Raw genomic sequence first — 14,227 nt, 5'->3', positions numbered from 1 at the left:
CTGCTAAACAGATTTAAGTAAGAACTAGAGTCTCATGATGTAATACCCAAAATATCCAGGGTAAAATACAAAATCACTAATCACACCAAGAACCAGGAAAATCTCATATTAAATAAGAAAAGACAGTCCACAGATGCCATCACCAAGATAATAATGTTGGAATTGTCTGATAAAGATTTTAAAGCAGCCATCATAAAAAGCCTTCAATGAACAATTACAAAAACTTTCTTGAAACAAATGAAAAAAGAGAAAATCTGAGCAAATAGAAGATGTAAATAAGAACCAAATAAAAATTTTAGAACTAAAATATACAAAAAAAAAAAAAACTCAATAGATGAGCTTCACAGCAGAAGGGAAAGGACAGAGAAAAGAATCAGTGAACTTGAGACTAGAACACTAGAAATTGGCCAGGCACTGTGGCTCACACCTGTAATCCCAACACTTTGGAAGGCCAAGGCAGGCCAATCACTTGAGGTCAGGAGTTCAAGACCAGCCTGGCCAACATGGCAAAAACCTGTCTCTACTAAAAATACAAAAATTAGCCAGGCATGGTGGTGCACACCTGTAGTCCCAGCTACTCAGGAGGCTGAGGCAGCAGAATAGAAATTACTCAATCTGAACAACAGAAAAAAAAAAAAAACTAACTGAAAAAAAAATGAACAAACTCAGGAACCTATACGAGTATAACAAAGAAATCAAACACTCATGTCATTTGAGTCCCAGAAGGAGAGGAGAAAGAAGGTGGGCTAAAAAGGTATTAAAAAATACAATAACTAAAATTTTCCCAAGTTTGGTAAAAGACACAACTTAAAGAAAGAAGAAGCTATGTGAATTCTGAACAGAATAAACCTAAAGAAATCCATGTCAAGACACATATTAGTTAATCTTGTAAAAACTAAAGGTGGCCGGGCGTGGTGGCTCATGCTTGTAATCCCAGCACTCTGGGAGGCCAAGGCGGGTGGATCATTGGAGGTCAGGAGCTCAAGACCAGCCTGGGCAACATGGTGAAACTCCGTCTCCAGCAAAAAATACAAAAATTAGCCAGGCGTGGTGGCACATGCCTATAGTCCCCAGCTACTCGGGAGGCTGAGGCAGGAGAATAGCTTGAACCTGGGAGCCAGAGATTGCAGTGAGCCGAGATCATGCCACTGCACTCCAGCCTAGGCAACACAGCGAGACTCTGTCTCAAATAAAATACGTACGTACATACATACATACATACTAAAAGTAAATAAATAAATCTTGAAATCAGTGAGAGGGAGACAACTAAAAGACAGATATTGGCAAAGAGGATTTTAAAAACATTACCCAACTATACGCAAGGACATTATGGAGTGGAAAAAAAGTCAGTCCCAAGAGGTCACATACCATATAATTCCATTTATACAACATTCTTAAAATGACAAATTATAGAGATGGAGAACAGATTAGTAGTAGCTGGGGATTAGGAATGGTGAAGGGAAGAGGAAATGATTATAAAGAGGTAGCATGAGGAAGATCTTTGTGGTGATAGAGTAGTGCTATATCTTGATTATGGTGGTGGTCACATAAATCTATGGCTGTGACAAAATGGCATGGAACTATACATAACTTATATAGTACCAATGTCAATTTGCTGGCTTTAATATTGTACTATAGTTATATAAGATGTAACCACTGGATAAAGAGGACCCAGGGCCTCTCTGTACTATCTTTGCAAGTTCCTGAAAATCTACAATTATTTCCAAATAAAAGTTTTAAAATTTTCATAAAACTACATATACACACCCATGCATATACACACATACAGAGAGAGAGAGAGAGAAAACAAAATTGCATATAGAAATGGGTCACCAGATCATATTTGGCTTTAGTACATTTTTCACTTTACTATATGAATGTGCTTTATTACAGAAATATATGTATTTATTAAAACTTACTGCACTTCAACAAAAGAATGGAACTATACTCTGCAATTCTACATGGAAGGAGCTAGACATTTTTCATTTTACAAAACTTGCTTTTTGCAGACCTTGTTTGTATCTTTGGCTCCACTTTTTTCTAACTCTATTACCTTCTCAGAGGCTCAGTTTCCTCATCTTAAATGGAGCTAAGAATGCATGCCTCCCGCATTACTTTTATTAGTAGTAAAATTCTTCTTGGCCAGGTGTGGTGGCTCACACTTGTAATCACACCACTTTGGGAGGCTGAGGTGGGAAGATTGCCTGAGCCCAGGAGTTCTAACCTGCCTGGGCAACAGAGAGAGATCCCTATCTCTGCAAAACAATTTTTCAAAAAAAATTAGCTGGGTGTGGTGGTGTGTGCCTACAGTCCCAGCTACTCTGGAGGCTGAGGCAGAAGGATCACTTGAGCCCCAGAGATTCAGGCTGCAGTGAGCTGTGATGACACCACTGCACTCTAGCCTGGGTGACACAGTGAGACTTTGTCTCAAAAAAATAATAAAATAAAATGTCTTATTGTATAAAATGATATAGCATCAAATGGCAAAACCAGAATTTATGGAATAGCAAAATGTTACCTGATTTGAGGGACTCCTATATGTTGCCAGTATTTAAAAAGTGCCAGCCAGGCGCAGTGGCTCATGCCTGTAATCCCAGCACTTTGGGAGGCCGAGGTGAGCAGATCACAAGGTCAGGAGATCGAGACCATCCTGGCTAACATGGTGAAACCCCGTCTCTACTGAAAAAAAAAAGCAAAAAAATTAGCCAGGCAAGGTGGCAGGCGCCTGTAGTCCCAGCTACGTGGGAGGCTGAGGCAGGAGAAGGGCGTGAACCCAGGGGGCGGAGCCTGCAGTGAGCCAAGATTGCACCACTGCGCTCCAGCCTGGGCGACAGCAAGACTCCATCTCAAAAAAAAAAAAAAAAGAAGTGCCTGGAAACACTGGAAAGCTAATACCCAGGAAGTACCCCATCCTGCCCCAGCCTGCAGAATTAAGTTTGGGAGATTATCTCAGTAACATCAGCAAACAGTAGGAAACTGAGGCATTAGCAATGAAAAATGAAAGGAGGGCAATATGAGAGAGATCTTGATGATGAATTGAATGTCAGGAATAAAAGTGAGGGAGAAAAAGTAAGAATGACAGACAGACTTCTGGCTCAGGGTAAAATAGTTGCCCTTCCTGAAGATAAGTCAAACAAGTAGGCTGTTTGAGGGCAAATATAATAAGCCCACCTGGGGACATGTCTAACTTTATGAGTCTGGATGTGCAGATAAAGAGCTAGAAGAGAGCCTTGCAGTGGAGAAGTTGATCTGAGGGTTACTGGCATGCCAGTCAAAGCTGTACCATGGGTGAGGCAACCAGGAAGAAAACAGAGTGAAAAATGCAGAGGACAAGAGCAGCACCTGGAAGAAGACTGAAACACACCATGGGCAGGAGAAGACGTTCCTGAAAAGGCAACTCAAAAAGAGCAGCCAGAAAGGAAGGAGACAATTGGGAAGGAGTGATGTCAGGGAAGCCAAAGGAAGAAAGAGAGCCATGTGGCCAGGGAACCAACGTCACAGAGGGCTCAAGTAAGATGGGATACAAAGCTCCACTGGATTTGACCTTTGGAGGTCAGTGGTGTGGGGCAGCAGACAGGTGACAGCAGGTTGGGTAGTGAATGGAAAAAGAGCAAGCAAAGCCAGTGAATGCAGAGGGTGCTCTTTAGAGTGGTGTTTCCCAAAGTGGGTCCCCAACCGTCAGCATCACCTGGGAACTTGTTAGAAATGCACATTCTTGGACCCGACCCCAAACCTACCAGATCAGAAACTCTGAGGATGAGGCTCAGGAATGTGTGCTTTAACAAGTTCTGTAGCTGATTCTGATGTACACCAAAGGTTGAGACATACAGATCTAGAAAAAGAAAGAGAAGCCACTGTTGGGAGGAAAGGGAGAATAGTCAAAGGAGGGTTTTGTGTTATAAAATGGAATAAATTTTGGTTTTTCAGCTAGAAATTACTCTTTATTGATTAAATCACCAGAAATTTTCAGCACAAGATTTAACATCTTAATGACCACCAAGGCCTGGGCTCTAGGGCTCTTTCTGCCTCTTCCGGTCCTTAATGGGGTTTAGAGGGAGAGACATCATTAACAAGTCAGATGATTGCAGGTCCTCCTTTCCCAGTCTTTAAACAAGCTGCTCAATTCTTGTCCAGAGCAGGAAAGAGCCAGTACTTCAGAAAAATCTAATAAAGAATCTGACATTGCACTATAAGATCTCTCATAACAATTTAGATTTATCAATAGTATTGGTCCAAACTCATTTGCTTCAGATCTAAATTTTTTTCATTGTGCAATTTACTTTTTGTGTGTGTATGCAGTTTTAATAAATAATCTCACTCCCTGTGCAGAAATTAATCAACCCAATGCAAAAAACATCCCTCAAACTGGAATAGCCTCATCTTACTTTGGAGAGAGGAAACAAGTTTTTCTGCTCCTCTTCTACCCGGGAGATGAACAAATGTCCCCACAAAGTTCAAAATGTTACTTCTGGCCTTGGGATGCACACACAGGCAGCTTTGATGGGCTAATTCAGATCACCTAGAAAGGGCAGCTGCAACCACTATGCAGGTAGTCTTCTTTGGGAATTTCTTAAATCAACTCTTGAGAATTCTCCATGATTGTTTACAAAGGCCCTAAGCTCTAAACAACTTGTGCCACTTCATTTCATGAGCTAGGCTCTGAGGACACATTGGAATGTGCAGGAGCAAGAGCAGGGGCAGTGGGCAGTGGCCCCACGAGGAAGGACCTCAATAACTCGAGGCTTGTCAATGATCCAGGCTGTCCGATTTCCCTTTTCCACAATGCCAACAATCCATGCTTGGTGACCCTCTCTGTACTTGGAAGATCTGATTTCAGAAAAAAAGTGAGCCACCTGTTCTCTTGGAAGACAAATCAGTAATCTCCTGAGGTTTCAGCTGAGGTTCCTTGAAGAAGCCCAAACTGCCCCCTGGCCTTGCTGATGGCAGCCATCTTGGCAATGACTGGCAGATTGCAAATGACAAAGGACACATCATTTCTTTGTTGCTTCACGAGGTTCTGAGAGTGTCCTAGAATGCCAAAGCCTGTGATATCTGTGGCCACATGGGCATTAAATTTGTGCATTAATCCAGCAGCAGTTCTGTTGATGGTAGCCATATTGAGCATGGCTTCCTGATAGGCCAGATCTACTTCTTCTCCAAAGACCACCATCTTCACCTGATTCCATCTTTCAGTATCCTCCAGCCATTGGTGGGCATTGACAGCAACTTGGGTTCCTAAGGGTTTGGTTAATACCAGCACATCCCCAATAGCGGCATTATCAGGCATTATTAATGCACTTGGCCGACACACCACAGTGGCAACTCCACCCATGATAAGCCAAGAGTTGACCACGTTTGTCCACCTGTCACTGCAGTTCCTCCCTCCTCAGTAGCGTCCCGAAAGCCTTTGATCATGAGTGGCATTATATTTTCCCATTCCTCCTCACTCATACTCTGGCTAAGGCTGAGTAACGTCAACACGTTTTCACACTCAGTAATGCCTATGTCCTAGAGGTCACTCAGCACGTTGGCACAAGCTATGCACCCCTTCATGTAGGGATCTTCCACCAAGGGGTAAAAGAAGTCCGTGGTCTGCACCAGTGACAGGCCTCCATGCCTCAGTGAGATGATGCAAGAGTCTATCCCAATGCCCAGGGCTGGAAGGGCATTGGCAGGGGTGCTTCCTGGCAGGGGTGCTTCCTGGGCAGCCTCGTCCCAGCTGGGTGTGGGCCGTGTCAGTCTGGCCAGGAGTTTGGGCAGTGCCTCCTGCGGGAGCTTGCAGCCTCAGCCCTTCCTGCCGGAGAAGCCGGTCAGTCGCCAGCTCAGGCTGAGACCCCACAACTGGGGCTAGCAGGGCCAGTAGCTCGAGAAGGCCCAGCCCAGAGACAAGGCCGCCGGGCTTGATGAGACTTCCGCCGCCGCCATGGCCACCGTCACGGGGCTTCCGCCATCGCGCCTGCTGGAAAGGCCTGAGGAGAGGGGAGAAGAGGAGACGGCCTTTTTAGTTTCCACTCAAGTTAATATGAAGTAACAGTCAAATATCTCCCACAGAGATTCTCCCGGGCACCATTCTGGACACCCTTCTCGCCCAAGCCACCCCTCCTTGGCCTTCCTCCAAAATGGGAGAGGTTTATCACATGCTTGCACGGTACGAAGAGCCAGTATTTGAAGAGACTGGATCTATAGAAAAGGGGAGATAAGTGTTGGAGCCAACTTTTGGGAAACCCAGAAATCGATGTTGAGTATTTTGAGATATAAAGTCATAGGAGCAGCTTAGGAATTATGTCCCAGCCTCTGTACCCGCCTGTTTATGAGGCAAAGCAAGGATGACAGGATACTTCTGTTCTGACATGTCTGCTTCTAATACTTCAACCACTACCTCCTCCAAGAATCTCTGTATTTTTGTTTACTATGTGACTAATATCTTCAAACACCTAGGAGCATTTCATGTCATCTGACCTTTGAAGGCTAGGCAGGCCCGCTGCAGGTTAACAGTTCACCTTTCCCAGGTCCCCGGGCGCGCTATTTGGAGCATGTGCTGAACTCCTATCTATTCAGGTGCCGGAGAATAGGGATTGAATTTCATGCTGGTGACTATGTGGGCTCCAAAGCCTGAGCTAGGGAAGCCAGGAAGGGCAGTGCCTCCAGGCCAAGGGCACATGAGAAGGGGATATCTGGGGCTTTTTCCAGACAAGGTAGGTAGGAGACACTTACCCAGTAGCTGCAACAAAAACAGTATTCCACATTCTAGGGTGATTCAAATGTCAAACACAGACAAAATTGTAATGGAGGAAAAAAAAAGAGGTTTGTCTGGTAGGAAAAAAAAAAAAAGAGGTTGCCGGTTATGACAGCCACCATTGGTAATGTTTATTTTGTTTTTCCTCTGGTCGAGCTGGTCCGCAAAGACCTGGCGCACCCAGGCAAGAGACAGTTGCAAAACAAGTGTCTGTACAAGAGACCTACAAGGAGTCTCAAAGATTTTTAATTTTCGTTAACCCCAATTTTGATTTTCTTTTTCTTAAAAACATGGTGCTAAATCTTTGTGGTCAAAGCCTTAGGTTGACAGCCTTTAATAAAGAAGTCCAAACTCTGGAAAAACAAAAATAAACAGAACTATGCAACAAATCACATTCTCCTTTGAAAGTTGCTTTTGAAGGCCCAAGGGAGTACTATTAACATCACAGGAAAAGCTAGGCAATTAATTTCCATTCTAAGGGCTTTTAGAATGTCTCCCAGAATTGACAGGGAAAGAAAATTAATGCCATATCAAGACATTAATTCAAATCACCAATTAGTTTACTCAAGGTCTTCTCTGATAGTAACTTCTGTTTACTACTAGCTTTGATGAAATGTGAGAATTGAAAAAAGAGTTTCTATCCCCAGCACCAATCCATGCACTATGCAGATTCAACTGATACTGATTTCCTCTTTCCTATCCCACTTCAGGGAAAGGAAAGTCAAGTTTGGGGACTATTTATGGTAAGTATACACACACACACACACACACACACACACACACACACACCTGTGTATATATGTATCATACAGAAGGAGTGTGCTTTACCTCTTCTCTTTATCCTTCTCACTTGGGAGGAAAAGGGCTGGGCACATTGTCAGAAATCAGTATATCTGTGGGCGGCAGATTGTTTCATACAGAAGAGTGCCTTTTTCTGCCAGTGCTCATGAAGTTGCACCATTGCTGGTTTTATTTGCTGGAAGTAGATCCATCAGATATTAAAGTGTCGTAATATAAATGTAGTGAGTCATGACTAGCACTTGGGATACAGATAGAATAGGATAGGGTGGGATGGGATGGGATGACATAAGATGGGATAGGTTAGAATAAGGAGGGGAGGGGAGGAGAGGGAAGGGGAGAAGAGGAGAGGAGAGAAGGAGAAGATGGATTGGATAGGAGAAGATGCATAGGATAGGGTAGGATGGGATGGATTGAATAGGATAGGATAAGAAATACCAGAGCAAATCACAGGTAAGCAGGAGAGAGCTGGTCTGTGAAACTTTAAGTTTGATGTGCAAGCATGTGTGCACACACACAACTGCGGTTGTGTTCTAAATCACAATGTGAAATGAATCTTTCATAACCAAAAATGTTGATTCTAATTTGATAATAGAAATGAGGGCTGGGCACAGTGGTTTATGCCTATAATCCCAGCACTTTGGGAGGCCGAGGTGGGAGGATCACGAGGTCAGGAGTTCGAGACCAGCCTGGGCAACATGGTGAAATTCTGTCTCTACTAAAATACAAAAATTAGCCAGGTGTGGTGGTATATGACTGTAACCCCAGCTACTCGGGAGGTTGAGGCAAGAGAATTGCTTTAACTCGGGAGGCGGAGTTTGCAGTGAGCCGAGATCGTGCCACTGCACTCCAGCCCGGGCGACAGAGTCAGACTCTGTCTCAAAAAAAAAAAAGAAGAAGAAGAAATGAGGTTGACAATAGAAATGAGACTTCTCCACCTAGTGGAGAAGTGATTGGCAGTTTTTCACCCATAAATAAAGAGCTGCTCACATTTGCTGGCCGTGTCAGCAAAATGCTAATTGTATAGTGTTCAGAGGTGAGAGTGAGCCCATCCTTGCTGAATAGGGGCTTCTCTAGCTTGTGAATCTGTGCAGTGTGGCCTCACTGGGACACTGTGTAGCTAATAGGGTTTGGATGTTTGTCCCTTCCAAATCTCATATTGAAATGTGAATCCCAAAGTTGCAGATGGAGCCTGGTGGGAGGTGTTTGGGTCAGGGGGGTGGATCTCTCATAAATGGCTTGGTGCCCTCTCCATGGTAATAAGTGATTTCTCACTCTGTTAGTTCATGCAAGAGCTGGTTGTTTAAAAGAGCCTGGCATCTCTCTTGCTTTCTCATCATGTGACACGCCTGCTTCCCCTTCACCTTCTACCATGATTGTAAGCTTCCTAAGGCCCTCACCAGAAGTAGCTGCCAGCATTAGGTTTCTTATAAAGCCTCTGAACCGTGAACCAAAATAAAACTCTTTTCTTTATAAATTACCAAGCCTCAGATATTCCTGTATAACAATGCAAAACAGACTAACACCAGAGCCAAATGTTCTAGGGTTGAACGGAGGTGAAAGCAGACAAATCATGGGACTTACTTATTTTTAAGTTTCCCCAAAAACAATGTGTCTAGGCCTTCCCATACCTCAGTCAGCTCACACAGAACAACACCCAAACATCCAGCCTTGGTCCAGCCTCTGAAGACCACCCATGGACAAACTAATGAGCCCTACGGTTTGCATTTTCAATTGCAAATGATGTTTTAAGAAAACACTTAACTATTACTTTCCAAGAAACTGGTTTCAAGAGGTTCAAGCACAAACACTCCCGTTTATGTTTCCACCCTCAATCAAGATGAAAGAGGCTAGTTTAAAATTTTTCCTTTCCATGCAGCAGATCCCAAACCCTGAGTTTTACCACCACAGGTTTAAAGGTTGCTGTGGTCGGCCAGCATGACGCCCTCGCTGCTCCCAGGCAAATTCCTTATGGGTCCTGCTCTGGTCAGCTCACTGGATATGCACTGTGAATACCTGGACTCACTTCCCATTTGCACAAAATGTGGACAATGTTGCTTTTTATTCAGGCAGTAATATTGCAAAGTTGCTTTGTGCTTCTTAGAACCCAAGATAATTTTATTGTGAAAATAAAGATCAAAATATTTCAACTTTCCTTTTCCCTTTCCTCTTCATGTACAATGATAGAGTTTGGAGACATAAAAACAAGCCAAGTGTTTTACAAGGAATATCTGTCATAGGGAATATCAAAGCATCTTAATGGGTGCTGAATGTATTCATAACAACAGAACTTGTATTTTAAAGTTACATTTGATAAAATGGAGCTTACATACCAGAAGAGAAGTTCAAAGTGGCTTTTGGTGGAAGAAGAAGAAGAATTTCTCTAATACCAACTATATTTAACAAACAAATTAAATAAAAATGTTTTTCCTTCATATTTCACTTTTGCTGAGTCAAAAGTGACCAAGGAATAGTATCTAAGCTTAAATTCAAATCTATTTTCTTCCTTATTGACTGTGTATTACACTTATTCTCATGCATTCATTTTGTACATTCTAATGTATACTTATAAAATAACTAAACAAACTAAAGAAGTTACATTGAGTCATATTTAAAATTGTTCCAGCTATAAAAAATGGAACTTTCTATAAAATAAATATCAGGGCCAGACACGGTGGCTCATACCTGTGATTCCGGCACTTTGGGAAGCCAGGGTGGGAGGATAGTTTGAGGCCAAGAGTTCAAGACCAGCCTAGGAAACATAGTAAGACCCCCATCTCTACAAAACAACAACAACAAATTAGCTGGGAGTGGTGGCACACACCTGCAGTACTAGCTACTTGGGAGGCTAAGGCAAGAGGATCACTTTAGCCCAGGAGTTTGAGGTTGCAGTGAGTTATCATCATGCCACTGCACTCCAGCCTGGGTGACAGTGTGAGACCCCCCTCTCTAAAATAATTAATAATAAATAAATTAAATATTGGTTGGCCAAATGCACATTTTACAGTTTTATGACCATATTCTTTTTTCACATTCTCTTTGTTCTATAAGGAAACATACTTGTAAGTAAAGAATCCATACTTACAGAAATTGTATTCATTTTGATATATTTTTAAAATAAGCATTCTTTAGAACTGAACACAGACTGCAAATTCTTAAAGGCCATTCCCCACATGACATTCTCCAGAGCAGAGACAAAGAATGAAGTGGTTGATTGATGCAGATATTCATTCTGTGCAGCCTTCATGAAAAATAGGAAAGTTGTGCCCTAGAGTCTAGCACCCTGAGCTCATGCCCCTGTCAAAGTATTAGGAACGAAGAGAACAAGGACAGCCTGACCTGGGCTTCTCTCACTCCACAAGAAGGACTCCATTTAGGAGTTGGAGGCCAGACCATGCAGTCCAGGCCTTCAGGACTGATGCCATTTGTAGTGGATACACCGAGCAACACTTTCAGATAATTCTGTTCAAACCGAGGAGGAGTTTTCACCACCAGCGGTAATGGTTAGTCTTATAGGTCAACATGGCAAGGCTACAGTATCCAGTACTTGATCAAACACTAGCCTAGGTGTTGCTGCCAAGGTATTTTGTGGATGTGGTTAGCATCTACAGTCAGTTGATGTTAAAGAAAGGAGATTATCCTCAATAATCTGGTTGAGCCTCATCCAATCTGATGAAGGCCTTCAGAGCAAAACTGAGGTTTCCCAGAGGAAGGAAAATTCCGCCTGTAGACAGCAGCATCAGCTCTGGCCTGACAGACTCCAGATGGCTCTTCCCGACGGCCTGCTCTAGGGACGTCAGACTTGCCAGACCCCACAATCACTGATTCTGTTTCTCTGGCAGAATCTTGACTGATACGCCAGTCTACTGGGCTTGGATGAAATCAACCTAAATTTATCTAGAAATAAAGGGCCTCATTATACCCTAAATTTTAGTCAATTGCCAAATCTCAAAACATTGGTTTTATAAACTTTAGAACACAGAGTAGCAGACATTTAAGATTATTTGCTACTATATCCTTAAATGCCATCTAGATGGGAGTTAGTAAAAATATACTCTATTGTACGACTAGTTTGTTCCAATTTCTATCTAGTGTAAAAGACATTTGAAATGAACATTTGTACCAGTTGGGTTTCCATTGTTGTGAATTGGCTGCAGCCTTTCAAGGCAGAAAGGAACATATAAGGAATATGGTTTCTGAAACTCCTCCAAAACCAAAGTCATCTAAAATAAGTATGACTTGATGAATGCTAAAATGAAGTTGAAATTGGTTTCAGCCCATTTCCTAAATTGCAGCTGTTCTGACAATTCCACCTTACCTTCCTTATTTCAGTAGTTTCCTGGAGGATTTTCCCCCCACATCTAAGAAGGAAATTTTACTCTAAATTTTTTACACAAACTATCACTGATGAGTCTTTCCCCACCATAACTACAACTTTTCTTCCTGTTACATTCCACTTTAGCCAAAATAGGCCCCTGTAACTGGGTGGTTTTATTTTGTTCCATCATAAGAGAGTTTAATATACGCTTGTCAAGAAAAGAGACAGCACTGACAGTTAAATTAAAAGTGGTACCAATTAATGTATTTATAGAACACCATACACACGCAACAGACGAGGGAAGAATTTACAGTACACGAAAAGCACACCACGCTTCAGCAACAGTCGATTTGTCAAAAGGGCTGTGCTCCTGACAAATGATTAGTAAGAGAAAACCCCAAAGATCAGAGGAGGATGAAAGGGGGTTCACTCCTGCAGCTTGCAGGGGCAGTGGCAGAGGAATAAAGATAATCAGAGAATGCATTGGCAACACGTTCTCAGTTTCCTATTGACTGTGGGACTGTGGAGCCACATAGGAGATACAGGGCGTCAAAGCCACCTGGTCCCCCTGGTTATTGTGACAATGGAAAGATCACCTGCCTCTGCCCCCAGGACACTGCTGAGGCATGATCATAATGTTGGCAGACTGTTTTTCTCTTTTCTGCCTCTTTTCCTCTGTCATAACGCGCCTCCCCGCTTCCCATTCCTGCTCTTACAGAAGAATCTCCTATCTGTCATTCAGCAAAGCCTGTGTGTTGCCCTGGGCTCTCAGAGTTCTGGAAAGTTTAAAGCTCTGCTAAGGAAGTAATGTGGAGGTTGCCTTGTTCCGGTGAACTCATTGCCAACCCCAGGCCCTCTTTCTCCTGAGTCCCCTCATAGTGCAGAGACTGTTCTTTCTCAAAGGGATTGCTGGCATCTGTGGCCAGCTGGGGTGGGGAGGATATGAAGATATTTTAAGGCTAGAGGGCCCTCGCAGGTTCAGAAACAGCACACTCAGGCAGTCACCCTGCATGATTCGTGAAACTCTGGAGCCACAGCAGACGTGAGAGATGAGGGAAATGCTCTCTCCATACTATAAGGGTACTCGGGAGAAAGAGGGCCTGGAGTTGGCAGTGGGTTAACTGGGAAAAGGCAATCTCCCTGTTACTTCTCTCCATAGACTCCTTAAGCAACACATGCTAATTTGTTTCTTAAACAGTCAAAGGCTTCTCACATGCCAGAGAATATATGTACAAAAAATATAATTACAGGACTTTTTGTTCTGGCTATGACAGAGTAGTTTAAAGAAAACTAAAGAAAAACCTAAAGAACAGATGAATTATATTTTTAAAAATCATTTAGGCCAGGCATGGTGGCTCATGCCTGTAATCCCAGCACTTTGGGAGGCCAAGGTGGGTGGATCACCTGAGGTCAGGGGTTCGAGACCAGCCTGGCCAACATAGTGAAATGCCATCTTACTGAAAATATAAAAATTAGCTGGGCGTGGTGGCACATGCCTATAATCCCAGCTACTTGGGAGGCTGAGGCAGGAGAATAGCTTCAACCTGGGAGGCAGAGGTTGCAGTGAACTAAGGTTGCACCACTACACTCCAGCTTGGGTGACAGAGTGAGACTGTGTCTCAAAAAAAAAAAAAAAAAAACTGTTTAAAGGCATAGAGGAACCACCAAGACAACCAGACACAATTTGGGCACCAGATCCACAAAAGACAGGAAGCCTCCAGAGGTGAGCCCAGCTCTCCACATTCCAGTTTCACCTGTGGGGCAATTCTTGGTCTGATTGCACCTTCGGGGCAATTCTTGGTCAATTCTTGATACTGGGCTAGGGACTAAGAAACGGGGCGGGGGCAGATGCTAAGAGGCAGAGAAGCCAGCAGAGCTTCAAACAATTTTACAGGACTGGGAGGACAAATTGGGATCTGAAGCTGCAGAAGTGTCCTTGAAAGGCCAAGATACCAAAGAGAAGGAGGACACCAACAATGGATCCAACACGCAGCAATGGTTTCCTCCAATGGGTCAGACAGAAGACTGCAACACAGAATACATATAGAAATAATGAGCAAGGTAAATGTATTTAAATCTAAATGAATATTAATTGTACAAAACAGTAATAATATGGAGATTTAAATATGTATAGGATTAAACAGCATGACAAAAAATAACAAAAAAGAAGGAGATACATGGAGTTAAAGTCCTTTGAGAAATGTAAAGAACTCATTTATATTAAACTGGAATAAATCAAAAGTGATTGTTTTAATCTCTAGGATAACTTACAAAAGAATAGCAGAGGGATATCTTTATTTTTAAAAAAATATTTAATAGAGGGGAAAATGAAATAATAATCTTAAAAATAATTAGTCCAAAAGAGGCAAAAAAAA

At 42.8% G+C, this 14,227-nt stretch overlaps 1 pseudogene; it reads right to left on the bottom strand.

Moving 5' to 3' along the window:
* Positions 3,914–6,072, bottom strand: SEPHS2P1 (selenophosphate synthetase 2 pseudogene 1; annotated as a pseudogene).

Source organism: Homo sapiens, chromosome 5 (assembly GCF_000001405.40).
Source record: "Homo sapiens chromosome 5, GRCh38.p14 Primary Assembly".
Lineage (NCBI taxonomy): Eukaryota > Metazoa > Chordata > Mammalia > Primates > Hominidae > Homo > Homo sapiens.
Note: the sequence above shows the minus strand (reverse complement) of the source record. Positions and strands in the feature narration are given on the sequence as shown.